At 37.9% G+C, this 24247-nt stretch overlaps 1 protein-coding gene across 57 annotated transcripts in view; it reads right to left on the bottom strand.

The window, feature by feature from the left end:
- Positions 1-24247, bottom strand: part of LPP (LIM domain containing preferred translocation partner in lipoma) — a 737651-nt gene that overhangs the window by 473561 nt on the left and 239843 nt on the right. For all 57 annotated transcript variants that reach the window (NR_164692.1, XM_047448103.1, NM_001375457.1 and 54 more), the window contains one exon: positions 10798-10999. Coding sequence is in view for 56 of the 57 variants with exons in the window: in XM_047448097.1 (XP_047304053.1) it covers positions 10798-10999 (202 nt within the window). In the remaining variant the exon portion in view is untranslated. The remainder of the gene's footprint in view (positions 1-10797; positions 11000-24247) is intronic.

Below are 24247 nucleotides of genomic sequence, written 5' to 3'. Positions count from 1 at the left end.
GACCTATACTCCTCTGCCCCAGGTGCTGTCCTCAGCCATCAGGTCTCTCTGAATGCAGTAATTTTAAGAAAGGATGATAAAAATATCATACTGATTTTTTTTAAGTTCTTTAGGTTAATCGTTATTCTAGGGTATGATTTCTTTATATGGTATATTTGCCCAAAGGCTCAGGTGTCAGATTTATTTTTATAATGTCCATAATGAATCCATTTTTAGATAATTTACATAGGCCTACTGTGACCCAAAATTGGCTGAGATTTCAGGCATTGCTACCCAAAGCAACACAATAGCAAGAGCTCTGTAATGCAGAAGCTTGTCCATGGCTAGGGCATTCTCGAAGAATCCATTTTTTTGTTGTTGTTTGAAATTTTCTGGTTTTGGATCCCAAATAAAATGACCCAGGACAACATATGCAAACGATTGGTGTCTATAATGAAAGCACTGAGGGAAAAGAATAGCAACATGAAAGATGCTCTAGGTCTCTGAATCTGTACAATGTTCACAAGATAAAGACTCTCAAGACTTCAAAAGCTACCATCATTAACTACGGGAGGAAGAGTACACTCTCAGGACTTGGAGAAGGTTCAAAGGAGATTAAGGCACTGGTCCCTGAAGTTAATGAAATAAATGAGTGGTTCCCAAACGTTGGTTGAGCATCAATCACAATTCCCGGGAAGTTCTGTTTTATTTTTTATTTTGCTTTGTTTTAATGCAGATTCCTGGGCCCCATGGCCAGATATTTTGATTCTGTAAAATTGTGATGGGACCTAGGACTTGCTTTAATTTTTTTCTTTTGAAAAATGTTCTCCAAGTCTTTCTGATGACTGGCCAGCTTTGAAAACCACAGGTTTAAGCCATACATTTTGGCAGGGATACATATAGCAGTGATCTTTCAAAGTATCATGCAAGCAATTCAGATGGCATGTAAGATAGCACTTTGAGTAAGAGAAGAATACATTAAGATATCTATATGCATTCCTTTATTTTACTATTATTAATTTTTTTTTAAATATGGACTCATAGAAAGTTGCAAAAATAGTACAGAGTTTCCATGTACATTTTACCCAGGTTCCCTAAATGGTAATGCTCATAAAGCTGTAATACATTCGAAAACCCAGCAAACTGACATTGTTACCTTATTGTTAACTAGGAGTTACTCAGTTTTTACCATTTTATAACCTGCATTGATTTGTGTGTGCATACAGTTCTATGTAACTTTATCCCATGTATAGATTCATGTAATCATCACTCCAATTGAGGTACAGATCTGTTCCACCCATACAAAGACTCTTGCTGCGTCCTCTTTGTAGGAATGACCAGTACTTGCCCCCCCCCGACCCACCCATTTCTGTCCCCTAGCAATCATGAATATGTCCTTTATCTCTAGAGCTTTGTCTTAAAATGAAATCATATAATACATGTAACCTTTCGAGACAGTTTTTTCATTAAGCATGTCCAGGTTATTGCATATACCAACAATACTTCATTCTTTTTTACTGCTGAATGGTATTATTCCATTGTATGGCTGTACCAGACTTCACTGAAACATCTGCCCATCAAAGGATATTTGGGTTGTTTCCAGTGTTTTGTCATTATGATAAAAAAAAAAAAGTTGCTATGAACATCCATGTACAGGTTTTTTCGTGAACATAACATTTTGATTCTCTGGATTAAATGCCAAAGGGTATATTTGCTGAGTCATATGGTTAGTACATGTTTACTTTTGTAAAATACCGCCAAAGAGTTTTCCATCGTGGCTACAAAATTTTGCACATGCCTACCAGCATTGTGAGAGATCATTTCTCCACATCCTTAGCAGCATCTGGTACAAATTTTTATTTTAGCTTTTCTAATACATGTGTGGTGATATCTCTTTGTGGCTCTCTGTTTATTTTTATTATCAAAAAAGCAATTAAATTCTCTTCAGATGTAAAATACGGAGGGACAATAGTATTGTATATTTGTATAATTCAAAAATAAAGATGATTAATATGTATCTCACCACACAAATCAGCATTAATTATTGTTTTTGAACCATACAAGAATTAGGAGGCACCCATCACCTTATTAAGGAACTCATTTCAGTAGTTAATTAAGCTGACAAGTTACAAAATAAAAGAGATTTCTGTCAACAATACAGGGACTTCTCCTTGTTCTAAAACATCCAATCCACTTTGTTCGGGTATATTAGTTCAATCACTGTAACTTCTAAACAAGTCCCCCAAAACGTGTCTATGGCAACCAGAGAAGGAATCCCCAGGATCATGGCTTGGCTTCCCCACTTACTAATCTGCAATACTGAACAAGCCACCTGCCTCTCTGAGTCTCTGAAATGAAGATTAAATTGTTGCCTGCATTCAAGAATTTTCATTGGTTATTTACAGCACTCCTGGGCAAAGAACCTGTACTTCGCTGAAATGTATTAGTGAATACATTCTCAACTATTCTCATCTAGGAAAGAAAGGGGTTGTATTAGATAACTTTTAAGATTCACCCTGGTTCTAGAATTTTACAGTTTATATAGTGTTGAGGCATTGTGATCTCTATCACTGTTGTTAGAAGCTAATGACATGAGTACTTATGGATAACATGCTAAATTATTATTATACTTATATTATCACATATTCATTACTACAGACTAAGTATCGCATATACAAAACATCTGGGACATGAAGTGTTTCAAATTTCAGATTTTTTGGATTTTTGGAATATTTACACATACCAGCTAAGCAACCCTAATCCACAATACTGAAATCCAAAATGTTCCTGTGAGCATTTCCTTTGAGCATTGTGTTAGCACTCAGAAAGTTTCAGATTTTTTCACATTTAAGATTTCAGATTTTTGGATTAGAGTTACTTAACCTATATTAAAGTATTTTTTATAATTTTGAATAGTTATTGGTAATTATATGTAAAGTTATAAAATGCATTTATTAAATAAATTTTATTTCACAAATGTTATCACTATTATTATTAATAATGTTATTTTTATTATAGCAAGAAAATACATCCCAAGAGGGCAGGAACTAGTCTCTGTTTCACTCAGTGCCATTACTTCAGCCCCTAGAAGAGTATCTGGCACAAAATCTGTTTTAAGTAAATGACTGCTGAATAAGTATATAATAGTAACTCCTTAGAGTTATAAGGTATTTTATGGTTTAAAAACATTTTCACATTTATCATCATATTTGGCTTTCAAAACAATCTTGTGAGGCAGTTGGTATTACCAGCTAATATTTTATGAATTAAAGAGGATATGGATTAGAAAAGCATCATGCCCAAGGCCAAGTGATGAAACTGAAGCTTGAATGTAACTGCACTGACCATCAAGCCAGGGCTGCATCTTGGCACTTTTGAGCATCAATAAGGCCTAAGAATATTTGGTAAGATCTGATGTCACTCCAAGAATTACAAGTTAATTTCTCTGCTGAAAGATGCAGTGTAAAGATCAAATTAATACAATTAATATTTGATCCTTTAATGAATACACAGCTTGTTCTTTTGTCCCCCTGAGGACCTGAAAATTAAAACTCATGCACTGCACTGTGCAGTGATGGATGAGGCTCGAGATGCTTACGCTCATCCAGAAAAGGGGCATGACAGGCAAACCCGAGCTTCATTACAGTTCCTGATGTTTCCGTGAATTTGTGGCTATCCTCATGGCATAACACGCATACTTATACCAAACGTCCAAGATGTTACAACTGCAGTCTCTAATTGCAATTAACAGGACTGTCAGGATTACAAAAAGATGTTTCCCATTTGTAACCTCCAAAAAAGATGTTTCCCATTTGTATCTCCAAAGTCAGAGCAAGATTCTCTTTGCATGGGGAAAAGGACAATAAGACTCCAGAGACAGAAAAGCACACCATGAGGACCATACGTTCGCAGCAAAAATAATGGGGAAAATCCAGTCTAAATTATTCCTTTAAATATAATGCCATAAGTGGACATCCATTTCCCTCACATGTTAGTTATCTGCTAAGAAAACAAATGTGTCCTGCCTACCCAGGATACATGGCTTCACATCACTAATGGCTAATTCTCCACCAAGCATCAATAATCCAGGACTCATCAGTTCCTAGGAACCAAGCTCCAAACTTGCCTGGTTCCCATAAACCACAGTGGTACAGCTGAATGAGTGCATTTAGGAAACCTGGGTTCTGGATCAATTCAGCCCCAAACTCATGGGTAGATTAGCAATCATCTATAACTGTTTCCCCTCCATGGAATAATACATTCGTAACCTCACAGTAGCAGAAAGCACAGAAAGATGTCATAAAAAAATAATCCAGGCTTAGGATCCCTATTTAATATAATTCACCTCACCTATCTTGATCTATCTTGACAAGTCTATGTGAACCAATATTCACAAAGCTGGTTTGTAAAAAGGGTCACCATTTTGAAATTAATTTCAAAGAAGAATCATGAAATAATAAAATAATGAAGTTAAAGGAGACATCAGACTGTGTAGCCAACGCTTTAATAAACGAAAGCATTTAAAATTCGTAAGAGCCCTAGGTGTGAGGGTCTCCCTCTACTCTTTTACTAGCTACATGATTCCTTATTAAGCTCTTCCACTTCTACTACTTACAAATCATCAAAATGACAATAACATCTGTTCTACCTACCTCAGAGAGTGACAGTAAGAATTTTCTACTGAAATGAAAAGACAATGAACATGCAACTGCTAAATAAACTATAAAAGAGTATACCAATATAAAAGGATTCCACCAAAATGATCACGTTGAATTGGTACCTAATGCAGACCCAAAGTCTGAATGGCCACAAACCGTTCCCAATATTTGTCTTTAATTTATATACTAAAGGAAAATGTCTCCTCTTGTATACTCAGAAAAGGTAAAGGTTATTATATTTAGAGAGAGAGAGGGAGAAAGAAAAAGAGTGAGAACTGGCATGTCATGCCAATTTGTTTTTTCAAAAATCTAACATAAAAATGTTTTTTAAAAAGAATTTCAGAAATTAAAGAAAGTGAATTCTAGGCCACAAGACAACTCCAGCTTCACAAACGTGAACTTTACAAATCTTTCCAAATGATTATCTATTTTAATGATGGATAAAAAGTATTATCAAATTTCATTCAGCCAAATTAGAGAGAGAGAGAGAGAGAGAGAGACAGAGAAAGAGAGAGAGAGAGTTATTAAGTTGGTGCAAAAGTAATCGTGGTTTTTGCCATTAAAGGCAACCTAACACTAATCCCCAGAGTGTATTAGTAAGATAATTTCAAAAACCATCTTTAAAAAATTATATTAGTACAGTAGGAAAGTTCATTTGCTTTGCTATTTACCAAAAACAGAAAAAGAACTATACTGTTCTGCCATCAAAGTCTAAGACTGAGTTTAATTGCTGTTGTTGTTTTATTTTTGGGGGTGGGGTGGTTGTTGTTTGTTGTATCTTTTTATTTTTTGATTTGGAGCAGAGTGAAAACCCAGATTATAGGACAAACAACACTAAAGGCTAGTATTTTGAAGACCAGAAGAAAAATTGCATTATCTTATCTTGTTGTCATCAGTTACACAGAATAGAAAGTGATGGAACAACATCATAAATATATACCAAAATAATTTCACAAAAAATGAAATAGTTAACACTATAAAATCTTTAAGAATTGTGCTGCTATAAACATGTGTGCACAGGTGTCTTTTTCATGTAATGATTTCTTTTCCTTTGGGTAGATACCCAGTAGTGGGATTGCTGTATCAAATGGTATGTCTACTTTCGTTCTTTAGTGAATCTCCATATTGTTTTTCATAGCAGTTGTACTAGTTTACATTCCCACCAACAGTGTAAAAGTGTCCCCTTTTCACCATATCTATGCCAACATTTATTATTTTTTTAATTATGACTATTCTTGCAGGAGTAAGGTGGTATCTCAATGTGGTTTTAATTTGCATTTCCCGGACAGTGAGTTGAGCATTTTTTCATATGATTATTGTCTGTATATCTTCTAAATACCCATCAGCCAACAAATGGATAAAAAATTGTGGTATATATACACTATGGGATACTACTCAGCCATAAAAAGGAATGAAATAATGGCATTTGCAGCAACTTGGATAGAGTTGGAGACCATTATTCTAAACGTAACTCAGGAATGGAAAATCAAATATTGTATGTTCTCACTTATAAGTGGGAGCTAAGCTATGAGGATGCAAAGGCATAAGAATGATATAATGGACTTTGGGGACTCAGGGTGAAGGATGGGAAGGATGTGAGGGATAAAAGACTACAGTGTACACTGCTCGGGCAATGGGCACACCGAAATCTCAGAAATCACCACTACAGAACTTCTCCATGTAAGCAAAAACCACCTGTTCCCCAAAAGCTATTGAACTAAAAAAAATCTCTAAGAAGACTAAATTTAATTAAAAAATAAGTATGAGTTCGTAAGCACAAAGCATTGAACACAGAGAAAGCATTTGGAAATGTAGGGGTATTCTAAGTTAGCTATGAAAACACAACTTGTTACAAAATCAGTGAAAAGAAATGAGAACAATGGAAGTAAAATAAAAGGACCCTGAGATCTAAAGAGCTACTAACTGGGAAAAAAAGCATGCCCCACTTTTCAGTGTGCCAAAGCCCTTTAGAAAATGGTTATTATCAGAATATCTTATAAAAGAAATTATAAATATGGGTACCCCAGAAAGATAAGTTGATGTGGAAAACATGTGGGTATTTTTCTACTTTCACAGTCAGAATTAAAACATGGGAAAGCAAACTCCAGAGATTACAGACGTAACACCAAGGTGAGAAATGTAAGTTCAAAGAATGGGCATAGGAAGGAAAAGTAATGCAAAGACGTGGGTTGAAACTGCAGAACCACAGTGTCTAATAAGTAGCTGAGAACCTAGAACCTGTGTCTGGAGAAGTAGGTTTATATTACTGTGCTTTATCAATTAATTCAGTTCTGCAAACACTATTGAGTTCCTAGTATGTGTCAGGTATCCTGCTAGGTGCTGTTGAGGGAAAAGGCATGAGTCAGGCAGCCCCTGACTCTCAAAGTTCAGACTCCGCTAGAGAAGACAGGTGCATATACAAGCAAATCTATTAAAAAACACATTGTCATAAGAATTGTAGGCAATGCATGAGGGTATGGGGTAGTAAAGAACAGTTTGCCATTAGAATATAGTACAAGGTTTGGGTAACTCTAGAGTTAGAGGGAAAAGACTTGAGTGCCAACTCGGCTCAGAGCAGGCTGTGCTTCTCTGAACAAATAACTTACACTCTCTAGACTGCAGTTTTCACATTTACGTCAGAACAAGATGGATTGCGTGATTTCTATTAGTTCTAACTTTCTGCATTTGTGGTTGAGCTTCGTGGAGGTCAACTTTTAAGCAATGAATTAAAAGACTGTAGAAGCAGGAAACTGGGGGACAAGTACACTCTAAAAGCCAAAAACAGCATGAGCTGAGGCAATACAGAGCATAAGCTGGTATCACCAATGCATCCTGGAAATAAAACCTGTGCTACCTACTATCTTGGGAATTTCACTGAGAGTATAGAACATTCTAAATGAAAAAAAGAAACGAAAAGGAATGGTTATAAATTGTTTAAATGTGTAAACAAACACAATAGATGTAAGTTACAAAAATGTTCAGAGTAACAGAATGCACTGATAACATTTAAATTAAATATAAAGAAAAGCAAATCTACTTCCAACAAATACATGGATACATCTTTGTTTCATACAGCAGATGCAGAAATGTAGCTTCTATTTTAAAAAGTCTGAATGTCCATAAACTGTTCCCAAGATTTGTCTTTAACTTATATATTAAAGGAAAATTTCTTCTCTTGCATATTCAGAAAAGGTAAAGGTTATTATATTTAGAGAGAGGGGGAGAGAGAAAAAGAGTGAGAATTGGCAGAAATGCAAGAGAGAGCCAAAATTTCAGAAAACAAAAGACTGAGTTATACCATATTCCAAACTGCTTTGGAGAAGCATCACTGAGCAGTGCACTCACCCAGCCAGCCATCCGCCAGCCATCCAAATATATATGCATACATAAGAACACACAGACATACATTTGACCATATGCAACCATTCCTACTAAAAACACAGTAGCATAATATGAGCTATGAGGAACATAAGGACGAGTGAGAAACCATGTCTTGTTGCTTCAATGAGGAAGCAAAGCTTATATATATTCTTATAAGGGATGCAGGGATGTATCACTGTAATATGGGGTTTGCTGCCACATGTGCTGTGAATAGAAGGACAGGCAGTACCGCATGCTGGATATGGACAGCAGCCTTAGTTCAGAAACATACTCCAAGCAAATCATAGAGAATGTCACCTCCTTTAAGCTTCCATTTCTTTATAAGAAAAAAAAAAAAACATTTTGTAGGGTTACATAAGAAGGCAATAAAATAATAAAGAGAAAGCATAGAGCCTGGCATATACTACATGTTCAATATGGGACAGAATGTAAGCAGGAGCAATAACAAAAGTGGTAGAAATTTGGATAAGTCAAAGAATAAGATGTGGAAACTCGGGAAAGGGAGCGATTAATTCTGACCTAGGCTGCACCTAGCCATTTTGGAGAAAGTGATACAAATAGAATTTTCAGGTAACAAAAACGTGTGGGGTGGCATGTTGAGAGGGGACCAAGGACTGTGCTGCAGGGCACGCAAACAAATCACTTCAGTGTTCCTAGAGAGTAAGACAGTGGGTGAACCACACATAGTACAAGGAGGGCATGTCAAATTCACAGTAAAGGAGTCTAAAGCGAGGCCATTATATGCTTCTCTTCTACCTATCTCATATATGCCATTTATGAGCCCACTTAATATAGGACCTGCCCTCACCATAACGCTCAGGCCTATAAGAACTCTCATACCTACAAAGACTTCCTCACACCTTTGCCTTCTGCTCTATAACTGGCCATGTCTGTATTCTGTTCAGATTAGAGAGAGGTCCACTGAAGCTTTCCCCAAAAGTTAGGAGACAAAATAACAATGCCCCTAGTAAGCTGACAAAGGGAAACATTGAAAACATAAATGAGGGCCAGGTGCGGTGGCTCACGCCTGTAATCCCAGCCCTTTGGGAAGCCGAGGCTGGCAGATCACCTGAGGTCAGGAGTTCAAGACCAGCCTGACCAATGTGGAGAAACGCCATCTCTACTAAAAATACAAAATTAGTCAAGCATGGTAGTGCATGCCTGTAATCCAGCTATACGGGAGGCTGAGGCTGAGAATCACTTGAACCCGGGAAGCGGAGGTTGCAGTGAGCCGAAATAATGCCATTGCACTCCAGCCTGGGCAACAAGAGTGAAACTCCATCTCAAAAAAAAAAAAAAAAAAACAAACAAACAAAAAAAAAAACCATAAATGAGGAAGCCAACATATGGCTCCTCCTGTCCCTATGAAGAGAGATTCTCTTCCAGATCCCATTCCCAAGCCCTGAAGTCACTAAAGAAGGATGAGTCAAAGAAAGCCAGTTCCACTAAGTGCTTGATTAACTGCAAAGATGCAGTCTCTTTCTAAGGCAATAAAACATCATGGAGTGCTACAGAGATTAGTACAGCACCAAAGGCTTCGTTTATTGTTTTTCAAGAGCAGCTTTCTGAGGGTCTCGTTCTTGTACTTTCTGAGGAAAAGGATATCCAAAGATCCACAGCTGCAGCTTAGCCATGCATGCTGAAGCCTGATCCTCTCTACCACCCAACCTAGGTGTTCACCTTACACAAGCTAGACATCTGAACTAGGCTTCTGGCATCAGACCCAAAATACTAACAGACTAGTAAAGTGTTTCCTGGGCGCAGGAGAGGACAGGAAAGAAAAGAGGAGGACTGGACTATATCACAGAGTGTGAAACACTTGCGTGCAATATTGACAAAACAAACATTAATGTCATCCAAGAAGCAACTGGAAACATCATGAAGAGGGTAAGATATTAATAATTTTTTTAATGGTGGGACAGGGACAGAAAACAAAGGGAGTTAAATCTCCTTTCACTGCCTCTTCTCTCTCAGCTCCTAGAAGTCTAATATTCTTCAGTTTTTTTTTTTTTTATTTTAAGTTATTTTTTCTTGAGTTTGAATAAGCTGCTAACATTCACTGGTAAAAATATGGAACCTTTTCAACCAAAGAGTATGGTACCATTTATACTGCCTCTGAGGCTTCGTGTGTGAGTGTATACATACACATGAGAGCTGGAGCTCACGTAGACCTTCAAACTCTACTTGATGTAAACTGAATGCATTGTTATTAAAACCCCTGGAACTAGGCTTCACTCATATTTGTCTGGGAGATTCAACAAATGCAGATCTCACAGAACACTCTAGACAACTTATCCTTCAGCAGCCTAAGGGAAGAAAAACAGCCAGAGGAGGTAAACAATTCCATGCACTTTATTAGGTTCACTTTGTATAAGTTTCTGATTGGACTACTGCTTGGCAGCATTTGTGGACATTTGTCCAACGGCAAGAGGGAGGGATGACTGTCTGGTAGCTAAAACCCTACAAGAGAATGAGCTGGAGGTGGAAGATAACGCAGTAGAAAGGCATTGAGCTGTGACTAAAGAGGCCAGGTTTCTAGTTTGAGCTCTAACCCTATTTCATTATGTAACCATAGCCATATAACCCATAAAAAGTCTTTTTCCTAAAAGACGGGGTTGGTCTAGACTATTTCCGGGGGCTCCTTTACTTTTAGTAGCCTATGACACCCACGCTGTGAATTCACAAACTACGTTTTTCTGACACAACTTTGTACTACAAATCACCTATATAACTGAATTTTCCTACTCCAAGTAACCAACTCTGAAATCCCAGCACTTACCCTCACCTCCAGGTTGTTTGTATGGGTTGTACTTAGGTTTTGGAGCAACTACCGGGGCAAACTTTTTGGGTGGCTGTTGTGTAGACACTGAAATGCTGGGGTTCCCAAAGGAATGGGTGGTCTCCATCCGTGCAGGCACATGGCCGAGGGGCTCACCAGTGCTTTTGGGTGGCAGCCAAGATGGGTGAGACATTGTTGGAATCTGCAATGAAAAAGAAACACTGTTTTTATGGAAGCATGAAAACGAAGACAATACTCCTCATTTCATTGCTATTTCACCTTAATCCATACTAAATGCATCCTGATAAAGTTCTCTGGAAAGAAGGGTGAAAGAAAATGGAAGAAAGAAAAATGAAGAGGCAGAGGAATCATGAATAGAAAGAGGAGGAGGAAAAGGAGGAAGGAGAGGAAAAGGAGAAAGAAAGAAAGAAAGAGAAAGAGGAGGAGCAGGAAGAGAACACTGCCTCAAACTTGAATATCTCCCTTCCAATAGTTACCTATTTTAGTGCCTAGCCACTCTTGGGAAATAGATATGAATAAGAAATGGTTCCTAACTTGAAGGAGATTTTATGGTAGGAGGATGGAAAAGAGCTTGAATTTTATTAATAATCTATTAAATTAATTATCTCACCAATTAAATGGTTATGCCTAAATGAAGTGCTAAGTTACCTAAGTGAGGTTAAGAACAAGTGTTGCTGAGATGCAGAAAAAGATAGGCTCACTTCTTGGTGGGGGCAGAATTAACAAGATTTTATTGATGAGGTGATATACAGACTGGGTTTGAGTGCTAAGTAGGGTTGAACCTGAAAAATGTTGGCAAAATTATACAGGCAGAAAAGTACACAGCATTTACGTTTAGTGTGCTTGGAGGGCGAATAACAGAAAGTAGCAAGCAAAAGAACTAAAAGGTGGGTTGAAACCAAAGCACAGACAGCTCAGCAGCCACAGTTGAGTTTAAATTTATTCTTCAGGCATTAAGGAACCACTGAAAGTTTATTTTGGAAACAGGGTTTTAACAGATACCTGGCAGGACACTTTTAAATGATCCATCTGCAGGAGCAGCTCTGGTCCCCACCAAGGGGTATGTGGAAAAGGGGAAGAGGGGCATATTGGTTGCCCCAACGTCTGGGACAATTATTAGAATTTAGGACCGGAGGATAGAATATTCAACACATGTAATGCAAAGGTCAGCCCCGCACAACAAAGAAATGCCCATCAACTTGTATGTTGAGCTGATACCATGTTGGACCTTCATGAAAAGCTTGCTTAAACTAGGAGGGGAACAATCAGCCCAGCCCAGATGCTGCTCTGATCAGATTGCATATAATATTTGAAGAGAGGAAATGTCTCCTCTGTCAGGGTAAGCCAATCACCTCTCCAGTCAGCCTGCCTGCTGGGGATGAGACTCAGAGGCTGCTGCCGAGGAGGGCTCTCCAAGCCTGATTGCAAGAGCTCTCCAGCACAGGGACGCCCGGAAGGCACCCTGTAAGCGCCCCCAGCCCAAAAGCCACCTACTAATTTATTAATTGAACTGAATTAATTAAGAGGGCTACACAATTACCTCCAGATGTCTGTAAAGACAAAGAGCATCAGAACACAGAAATCAAAGGCCTCAGTACATGGCATAGTAATAGAGAGACAGGGTGGAGGGGAGAGCTGGGAAACAGTGTTGCCTGGATATTCACATCAGTCCACACCACCAACAAGTGGCATGACTTTGAACGGCATCGCCTCTAGAGCCTCAGATAGTTTCACTGTCTCAGAGGACTCAGCCAAGCACAATGGCTCACGCCTCTAATCCGAGCACTTTGGAGGCCAAGGCAGAAGGATCACTTGAGGCCAGGAGTTTGAGACCAGCCTGGGCAATAGAATGAGACTCGGTCTCTACAAAAAATTAAAAAATTAGCAGGATATAATGGCGCACACCTGTTGTTCCAGCTACTCAAGAGGCTGAGGTTGGAGGATCACTTGAGCCTGGGAGATTGAGGCTGCGGTAAGCTGTGATTGCACCACTGTACTCCAGCTTGGGCAACAGAGGGAGACCTTCTCTCAAAAAACAAACAAACATATAAACCTCTGTCTTCCTTAACTCTCAGAATTTTTATGGCAACCAATGAGATGATATTAAAGTACTTTTTATAGTATAGAGTGCTATGCAAAGTGAGAAAAAAAGAAGCCTCTATTCTTGTAGAAAGTCAATGGCAATTTTATGACCATCTTGCTTGGAAGAACAGCTTGATGTATAGTTTTCTTAAAAGACGAGGATAACATGAATCAATGACAAAGACTCTAAACTGGTAATCAGGACACATGCTATTGAAGCCAGTGATGGTACTGGCTTTTCACTCTGGTTACAGGGCCTTTCTTTTCTTTTTCTTTCCCCCGTACCTTTTACATATTCATATATACACACACATACATACATGTATATATATACACACACACAAAGACACATACATACTTGCTAAACTTGAGTTCCTTAAAAGGGTAGGGACCATATTTTACACATTTATAAACTACCATTAAGGCCTAGCACAAAACCAATATAGAAAAACTACCAATGAATGTCTGTTTTACTCGTGGTTTTTAAATTTAGCTGTTCATTTGGAATAACTTCAGATGATTTTTTTTTTCTAAATACCAAAACCAAACCCATCTCACATGGCTGAGAAATGCCAATTTTGGTTTTGCTTTTGCTTTTAATTGAGGCTTGGTCTTCTACTAAATTGGGATAAAAGTGACTGGTTTGCTTTCAGTATGACTAAAGTGAATATAAGTGTGAAATAAAAGGGATCAAGTAAAGGTTTAAAACTTTTAATGCATTATGCACATTGGTAGTATAAATGTTAATTATAATTTTTAAAATGGCTTAATACTATCCTTGGAAGGTCTCTATAAATCTAAAGTCATTTTATAATAAAAGGTTGAAAAATTGGTTAATATAGGATGCAGTATTTTCTTAAGCAAAGATTCACATTTTTCATAGTAATCCCAAGTTACTGACTGACTGTATCATCTTGGCTTTTCGGATATAGCACAGATATAAAGAAACAGGCAATTTCTGGGAGAGTATAAATAAAATGTAAGTATCAATATGCAAATCATTGGCTCCACAGTCATTTCAGTTATCCCCAGCATCATAAATTACCCGCATGCTGCCCTCCATGAAGAAGCACCTCCAGCTGCTCCTCCTGAGAGGCCCATCTTCTGACCAATCATTTGTTTGCAGATGTCCTCCTCAGTATCTTCTCTTACCATTCTTCTGCATGTCAGCAGTGACCCAGTGACCCCATTCCCAGGATTTATAATAAGTTTTCATGATTCTGAACCCTTGCTCATGCTGTGTTCACCATCAACAATGCCGTTTCCCTCTCTTCACGTTCTACCAAGCCCTATATTTTTATATTGTCTCAGCTCAAATGTCTCTAACTCTGTGAACATTTCCCTAACTTCTCCAAGGAAGAGTAGCCTAATTCCTTTTTCTAGGCTCTTTAGTACTTTCGGCATACTTATAACAATCCACAAGAAAGCCATTTATTTACCTGCCTACATGTCCCAACAAGTTGGAAACTCCAACTAGTCTCACTATACCGGCACAATGCCTAGGCAGGAAGCCCCTTAAACAAGTATGTTACATAGAAATGGGAGAATGAATGAACGTTACTCTTTCTTAGTTACTCATATCTTTCTAGAATTGCTATAGCATTCACTGATACAATCATCTCTTTTATCTTCCCTTAATTTGGTGATGTAATGAAGCATGCTGATAGATTTCCAGATATTGAACTATCTTGGCATTTGTGGAATAAAATCCTATCTAGTTACAGCTGCAGTGCCCTCTTTAGCAACCACTGATACATTCAACTCTTTTTCCCTCCCTTAATTTGATGATGTAATGAAATATGTTGATAAAGTCTACATATTGAACCATCTTTGCATGCCTAGAATAAATCCTTTGTTACACTTGTGTTTTGATATATTAATGAATTAACTAGGCTATTTTATCTATAATTTGTGTACATATAATCATAATAAAGATCATTTTATAGCATTTTTTTCTGCTTGTTTTACTTATCATGATTAGGTTTTGATAGGGGAGTTTTCTCCAACCTCCTCTACTGTCTAGGATATTTAATAACTACACTGGAATTATCTGGTTTTTTAAAGGTTATCCAAATTCAGCATAAAGTCATCTAAATACATCTTCTTTTAACAGACATTAATCATATTGCCAGTAACTTCTATGATAATAGTAGTAGTTTTCTATTTATTCTGAGGTCATTTTGCAGTACTTTTCTGATAGAAATTCACATTTTTTTCCTAGGTTTGATCTCTGCTCCCTCTGAAACAAGCTACTTCTTGTCTAAAAATGACTTCCAACATACTATGCATCAATTTAGATCATAAGCATTACTTTCTACTAGTCCTTGAAGGCAAATCTTGCACTATATTCTACAGTTCAAGTTATACATCCTTATAGTACAATCCCACAGCATCTACATACTGTTGTCACATATTCGTCACATGGTGCTCTGCCCATCTGCTTTCCTGTTCCCCAAACTAAACTCGCAAATCCTTGAGAGTGGAAATATTTATCATTTTATAATTCCAGGGGCTACCACATGATAGGTACTCAATAAAAATGTCTGTTAATTTAATGAATGAATGAATTTATTTGCCTGGCACTGGAGCTATAGATGAATCAGATTCTTATTCTTTACTCAAAGAGCTCAAAGACTATTTGAGGAAGAAATATTTATAAATGTGAAAAGAGAAAGAGAGCAACACAGAAAGCACATGAAAAATCTTGGGGGATGTCAGAAAAGCTAGCATAAGCTTGGCAGAGGTAGCCCTTAACCAGGACTTTGAATGCTGAGTAAATAAAAGAAAACTGGAGTAACCAGGGCAAAGATTAGAAATAATACTGTGAGCTTGGGTATGAAGCAAGGCATTTCTGTAGGACAGGGATCAGACCAGCGGCACCAAAATGAGGGATTCAGGGAGAACAGTTAGGGGAAAGTTTTAAAAGATAACATGAGTTCTGCCTTTTAAAGGTTTTATATAAAGATAAGAAGCTAGAGCTTTTATCCTTGAATAGGAAGATAACAAGAGTGAAAACTCCAGGTATTAAAAATTGAATCATGTAGGATGGATCCAAGGAAAGTGATAAATCCAATAGTATAGACATAGAGTCCCTGTGGCCCCAGTTCTAGTCTCAGCTATACAAGTGTGACCTTTAACAAGAGATGACACTCATTTGCAAAATGAATACCTGTAAAGTCCCAATCAGCTCTAATATTTTAGAGTGCTTTCTTTCTCTAAAATCTTCATTACAGCCCTTCATTTTGATAAATGGGTTTGATGAAACTTCACAAGTTTAATGAACAGATGAACTAGCACATATCATTGGGGCTCTTGGCTTCTAAGAGAGACCCATGTAAACACAAAAATAAGCAGTGGTGAGAACTGGTGTTGCTGGACCAAGATTTACACTGCTCTTACTTCCCCTCATTCTAGCTAGGTTTCACTCGAAGTTCATAATCATCATGAAAGCAAGAAGTGAAAGGGAAGATTTCCAGAGAGGCTCTGAGAATACACAACCACCATCAGCAGACAGGAAAGCAAGAGCAGTGGCCCTCCTCTAAGCAAGATGCCTACTGCTGAAGGGAGCTGGGGAGCTGCTGCTTCCTCAGCATTGCTCTTTCAGAAATTGTCACATGCAAGCAATTAAGAAGAACCTAAGAGGTTTCACTTATCAACTCCTCTGCTGCTCTTCTGTCTGTTCCCCCAGCGGTCCTAAGAAGACTAGAGACTGACAATAAACAAGTGTTTATTGAAGGTTTATTATATGTCTAGCAAATTTTCAATGGCCACACAGTCATCCTGACTGCCATATGAGGTAGCACTATCATTACCCACATCTAGCAAATCAAGAAAGTAAGACTGTAAGAGGTTGAATAACTTGCTCAAGGATATACAGCTAACAAATAGCAAAGCTGAAGCTGGGACACAGATCTTTAACTCCAAATCTCCGGTCTTCACTCTGTACTACCTCCCTATTTGGAGAAGAAAGGAAAACACCACAATTCAAAGGAAATCAGCACTTAACAGTAGTTTTTGCTCTTATTATTTCCATTCCAGCTCTTGAATTCTACTTGCCATAATGTTTTCTCTATTCTGTACCCTCAAATCTAATCATAATAAGCCACAGGACCACAAAGTGATGAAGCCAATAGTCAACAGAAAAAAAAAATCAAGGCACAACAGAAAGCAAATAACTACAAAAGGCTATGTGATGACCAGGACCCGCCCCACGTAGGTGGGAAAACTTAGTGCCATAGGCAAACTGACAATTAATACTAACAAAGCTACTAAGCCTCTCTCAGGATACCATGTGAATGTCAAGTCACTGTCACCCACAAAAACAGAAAGAAGTAGTGTTTGGTCATATTTTCCTTTTTTTCGTCCAAATCAATATGCTACTCTTCTAAAAAGATTTATATAGATCACCAAAACTGAAAAACAAACAACCGTTACATCATATTATCCAACATCCAGTGCAATAAACTTAGAGTAGTGTTTATCAAAACAGTCTGCACACTAACCTCATATGGGGATCTTTATGTATATACTCTGATTCAAGGGTTGAGAATAATTGACTTAGAGCATTTCTATTAATCTTTAAATGACATTGTATTAGTCCCTATATCTTCCTGGCAACTAACTCAAGGCCTAGCTCTTGGTCAGTGTGCACTGAATAAATGAATGATATTAGAAAAGGGACGTAGATTAACACCACAGAACTGAGGGACTATTTGACTTAAACATCAGAAGTAGCTGATGGCAGACTAACGTTTAGCATTCATGTCCCTTAGCAACATTTTCTTCATTTAAACAAGCTGTTACAATTTAAATAACACTCTCCTATAACTTTGAAGGTTTTTTTTTTTTAAACATTCTCTTTATACAAAAGTCAGTACCTTCCTGGAATTTCAAAACTGCTTTCCTAATCATCCACTAAAGTGGTATAATGTGGTTTCCCCTCTGGGCTATACGGCTCTCCATTATTGTTCACATCTCAGTATTTAGTGGAAAGATGCCTGATCTTCAGAATTCAGACCCAGCTTCTAGTCTTGGCTCCGCCATGAGCCCACTGTGTAACTTCCGTTATCTCTGAAATCTTGTGTCCTTCTCGAAAAATGTAGTGATGGAATTAGATGGTACAAATGACAACTCTGCTCACAAGCTTTTATGAGTCTATGAAAGATCTTGACTTTACAAGTAGCCAACGCCAAGTAAAGCAGATTCGATATCACCCGTGATTCTCCTCATTGTTTTGATATCATCTGTAATTCTCCTCTTTGCTCATCAGTGAGGAAGCACAGTCCTCTTTTTCTCTTTTTCTGTCACCCGTTTCCCTGACTCTTCTATCCTCCCCCTTGAAGGAAGGATTCTTGGGTTGATCTCAGAGATTAACAAGGTATCAATCAAGATGTATCATGCACAAGTAAATAAGTATTTAGGCAAACCTTTTCCAAACGGGGTAAGTCCCTACCAGCGTAATTGCGAAGCAGATATGCTGTGGCATGTGGTGGAGGCGTGGGAAGACAGCATTGAAGAATAAGGCAGGCTGAAAATTACACACAATTGTTAGTTGAACAGCAAATGTATTCACTCTTCCTCTGAAGCATCAGGTCACATAGAGCCGGAAGGGCAAAGCAGGATCTACCATGGGCTGAAAATGTCAATGTATTCACTCAACTTCTTCTTACAGACAGCTTTGGCCCAGCACTGGCTAAGTGCCCCACTCTCTGCATGGACAGCTGGCATTGCTCAGAAGAGGTAACGAGAGAACAACGCTACAGAAATGCCAAACCTTTATATAGGCTATCTGAGAGACATTTGGAAAAACTGGAAAAGGCACTAGACTTAGATGCAGAGGACTTGGGCGTACTTTCTATCTAGCTCAGTCACTAATTGGGTCTATGACTTTCGTTCTTAACCTCTTTGAACCTCAGTGACCCTTCCTATCTGTACACTAAAGATTAGATATCCACTACCATTCCCTCTAACTCTCATGTTTCCATGATTCTCCCACAAGTCCACAAGTTCAAGGAGCTAAGGTTTCTTACAAAACTATGTTTTAACTCCTATGAGACCAGGGAGTGTAGATGAGGGAAGGTAGGGTTGGAATCAGCACATTAAATGCCCATCTGCCTTGCACAGAGTACCAGAAAAAATAAATTAACACTAATGGTGCACTCCTTGTTCTTGGCAATGCTGCAGGTGACAAGAAAAACTCAGCGGCATTTCAGGATCCAAATAAACTACGAAGCAGCAAGGGAGAGAAGCATCAGGTCTAGACCAGTAAACATTGTCTCAGATAAAGAAGTGAGACACGGCCGGGCCCAGTGGCTCAGACCTGTAATCCCAGCACTTTGGGAGGCCGAGGAAGGCAGATCGTTTGAGGTCAGGAGTTCAAGATCAGCATGGCCAACATGTTGAAACCCCTTCTCAACTACAAATACAAAAATTAGCCGAGCACAGAGGTGCACACCTGTAGTCCCAGCTACTTGGGAGGCTAAGGCAGGAGAATCACTTGAACCCAGGAGGCAGAGGTTGCAGTGAGCCGAGATCGCGCCACTGCACTCCAGCCTGGGAGACAGGGTGAAACTCCATCTCAAAAAAAAAAAAGAAAAAGAAGTGAGACACAACAGTGACATGCCTCCACGCTGCACTTTCACTTCAGATTCAGAACGGCACTCGAAAAGGAAACAATCAACCCTGACAGGGAAACAACAGCACTGAAAGATCAGGACTCTCAGGAGAGAAGGTTAAGGACGGAACAAATACTGACTAAGTGGCCTTTAGTTTGCCACAGTTTCTATCAGTCAAGGAAAAAAAGACATGGTTGACAATAGCCAGGACAGACTACTTAAGAGCTAAAAGGTCATAGAGAACCCCAGCTAGGAGAAATCTTAGGAAATAATTTACGTCTTCTAATTTGAGTATTCAAATACCGAGATTTAGAGAAGCTAAAGAAACTTATCCAATGTAATAGAGCAGCTAGAACATATCAGAGGCTGGGTTTAAACCCAAATATTCTGTCTCCAAAGAGCATCTGCAGTGGGAAAGTTTGATTACACAAGCTTATAACTCTATTGCTAGATTATAACTAGATGGGGTAGGTAAAAGGCAATGGAATAGGGCACAGAAGTAAACAATTTCTCTGCCAAGAAAGTTCGCAACCATGGCACTGAAAATTAGCACAGAAGATAAATGGCCCCAACCTTGCATTCCAGGTCACATTTGATAACAATTGTTCCACGTGGCAAAGTAACCAAGAAAATGTGAATTCTCTCTGGACCTCAGTTTCTGCAGATTTAAAATAATAAGCAACTAATGATGACCTTCAAAATCTCCTCCCACAACTTCTTATGATCCACAATGTTATGGCTAGTCTGTGGAGTGTGCAGTGCTGGCAAAAAAACGGGCTCCTTAGCAGGTTTCTTCTAAGTCCTTGATTCTTATAGACTGCTTTTCTGTTCAAGGCCAAGAGAAAACAGGCAACAATAGCCTGCACCTCTTTGAGTTCAGTAAATCTGCTTCTAAAGGTGGAAATCTGGATTTGTAAAGGTGAGACGCTAAGTGCCTAATTCATAAAGATTTTGCCCCTCACCCAGGAAAAAGTGACGATAGGAAAAATCACCAATATGATCTCTAATGAGACCTAGCAATCTCTTTAACGGTTATCTAGCATCTTCTATTTCTAAACCTACCAATAACTGTGTAAGTCTGCAAGTTAACTGCAGCTCACTTAGCTGTGTTTCCCTGACAGCTTGTTCAAACTTGTATTAAAACATGTAAACACTCCATTTTAGATATCCATTTACAAGTGTGTCATGACCATTAGTCAGGCCATGAGATTTTGCTACCACTTTAGGATGTTCTAATTATCTTAATTTTTTAATGATTCTGTTTGTATTTTTCTGTTTTTGAATATTTATTTTGATATCTCAATAAAATAAGGAAGATTTTAAAAGCAATTTTAGTTATAACTTGAAAAAGTAGAAATTCTTAATTTTTCCTTCAATGAATATGAGTCTACTATTGATGAACGTTAAGACATATTTACATCTGATAACACTGCTTGTGACTGTGAACCAATGTTGATTCAGGCCACATAATCTGCTAAGAGTAATCATAGCAACAAGATGGGGAGTTAGAGATTATACTTCAGCCTTTTGAACATCATATTGTTCACAAAACTGTCAACTGTGTTGTTTGTATCCTACATCAGAACTACTATAAATTAGCTTAGAGCTTTTGAATTGAGTTTGGACATTATAATTTATTTATTTGTTTATTTTTATTATTATTATTATCATTATTATTATTTAGAGACAAGGTCTCACTCTGTTGCCCAAGCTGTAGTGCAGTGGTACCATCATGGCTCACTGAAGCCTGCAACTCCTAGACTCAAGTATTTCTCCCACCTCAGCCTCTCCAAAGTAGTCGGGACTATAGGTGTGCCACAATGTCTGGCAAATTTTTTAATTTTTTTTGTAAAGACAGGGTCTCACTAGTCTCGAACTCCTGGGCTCAAGCGGTGCTCTCACCCTGGCCTCCCAAACTGCTGAGATTAAAGTCATCACACCTGGCCTGTAATTTAAATTACTATTATTGAATTAATATTTTATTGTTATTGTAAATTAAAGTTTCCAGTTTAATCTCCGATTCTCTAATTACATATCATCTTAAATATCTATTAAGAAAAAGCTCAGCTGGGAGCAGTGGCTCACACATATAATCCTAGCACTTTGGGAGGAGACCCTGGATTGCTTGAGGCCTGGAGTTCGAGATCAGCCTGCGCAACACAACAAGATGTGTCTCTGGAAAAAAAAAATAATAATAATTTCTAAAAAACATTAGCTGGGAATGGTGGCTCGCCTCTCTAATCCCAGCTACTCGGGAGGCTGAGGTGGAAGGATCACTTGAGACCAGGGGTTCAAGGTTACAGTGAGCCACGATCATGCCACTGCACTCCAGCCTGGGCAATAGAATGAGACCCTGTCTCTAAATAAGTTTTTAAAAATCAACTTTATTCTAAAGCAAAATATAAGTATATTGCTAAATTTAAAATTTTTAATCCACAAATAATAGAAAAATAAAGTGGTACCAGAGATATAAATTATCAACCTTCAAGGACCATGAGATACAGTTTTAGAAAACAAAGAAATCCAACTTCATGCATTATATACTCTGAAATATAATTTTTATTTAACTCTAATTCCAAGAGCCTAGAGAAATTATTTCTCAGTATTTGAAATGGTATGAAAAACAGGCAAGCTTCTCACTAGTTTTTGTAAGAGAGGCTAGTTTTGCAATTTCACATTTAATAGCAAAACGATTGGAAGCATTTTCAACTGGGGACCTTTTTCTTAAGTCATGTTGGAAGTTGTTCCACTTTTATTTCAAGATTTTGAAACAGAGACAAAATCTGGTTAAGCATTAACCAATGGCAACACAGTAAAAATGAACCAGGCTGTTTCAAATCAGTTTCAGAATCACATCTATGGACATTATCCCTTTTAAGTTTCCCTTGATGAGAGAACTGTTGTAGTAGCTTCTGTATTTTTATCAATTATTGACCACTGTGTAAAAATATAAAATAAAATACATGAAAAATATACTCAGCTAATGTTCTGGGGAAATAAAACACAAATACATACACACACACACACACACACACACACACACACTTTAGATATTTTTAAAGAAGTAGCAAAGGACCCAACATTCACCAATACAGAAGTTTAACATCCTTGAAGTGTGAAATTGTTAATGAAGACATTTTATCTAATGTGGAGCTCAAGATGAAGCTTACCCACCATCTGTGAGTTCATTTGTACATGTCCAATGACAAGGAACTCATTACCTTACAAGACAGCCCCTTCCATGGCAGAAAAGTTATGACTGCTAGAAAGTTTTCTGCAGCTGAAGCCTGTATTCCCATAAGTACCACCTATTGGTCCTACCTGTGCCCTCTAGAATCACAAAACCTCTAATACATAGCAGACCTTTATATATTTCAGGTAATTTATTTGTTTCCCACTCAGTTTACATCTTTATGTGTTTCAGCTTTAATCAGTCTAGTTCTTCCCCTCTTTAAAAAGTAGCCTTACGACTTTATAACCAAATATTAAAGATAAATTTTTAAGTCTCAAACCAGTAGCTTTCAAACTTTTCCTTAGCAAAATAAATGGTTTCTTCATGCCAAATCATAAACAAAACCCCAAGTATAAATAGAAAAATTAATAAAACCATTACAGGGGCATTTAAATCATCACACTTTGGCAAAACATACTTTAATTTGGGGGAAGCATAAAATGCATTATTGCCCTAGTATCTCCAGTATGCTATAAGCCAGACTGGAAACCCACTGGTCTAAAATATTACAATACTGTGAGTGAAGAAAAAAACAAAATTGGTATCTACTTTATCTATATATTCCTAGGACCTAATACACAGTATATCCCATCATCAGATCTCAGCAAGTGATTGTTATATAAAAGAGAAGGTAAACTTAAACCCATGAAAATACTAAGACTTAAGCTCTGGTTTCGAATCGTTTTAATTCACATTTCAAACACTGTTCTTGAAGGCTCTGTATAATTAGGATGACCATACATCTCCAATTTATACCTGCTGTTCTGGTGTAATTATTAACAGTGCCCCTTTGCAAAAGTGTCCCAGTTTTGACGATAACTCATATAATCACCTACTGAAAACACTGTGTTAATGAGGTTTTGGTCGTTTAGTCCAAGTGAATCCTGAATACAGTCAAGTCCTCTCCCAGAAGTTCCATATGGCTAAAGCCCTCCCATACTTTTGGTTCATTACTGGCGTGGATAAGAGGCCACAGCAATTAGCAACGGGAAGTAGAGGAGGCTTTGGGGGCTTCCCTGCTTTAGGAGCATGTGCTCTTAAGAAGGAAAGAAGGTACTAAAATGAATCTTCGGGAGAAAAGCAAGATATAGCAGAAACCTAGCAGAAACTATTATCAACTAACCTATTCACTCAGCCTCTTTCTCCTGAAGCAAAAATGTCACTTTTTCTTAAAATAAAAATAAAAATAAATCAAGAGTGTTTACTTCAATTATATCTTTAACACCTGACCCCACACATACGAGATTATCAGTGATTTTATAATATATACTTGGTTACAAGTACTAGAAGGACAATATGTTGCCTGATTCTTAATTTGGAGCAGGAAAAAAAAAAATGTGTCTAAAATACATCCAAATGCACTCACTAGGGTACAATGTAAAGGTGGAAGGGATTACTAACAACTATTTCACATTTCTAAATTGGGGTTACACAGAGTTGAGGGAAAAGTCAGAAGAATTCAGTGAAGGCTCAACATTTCGGAATGTTTCAAGGTGGTTCT

Source organism: Homo sapiens, chromosome 3 (assembly GCF_000001405.40).
Source record: "Homo sapiens chromosome 3, GRCh38.p14 Primary Assembly".
NCBI lineage: Eukaryota > Metazoa > Chordata > Mammalia > Primates > Hominidae > Homo > Homo sapiens.
Note: the sequence above shows the minus strand (reverse complement) of the source record. Positions and strands in the feature narration are given on the sequence as shown.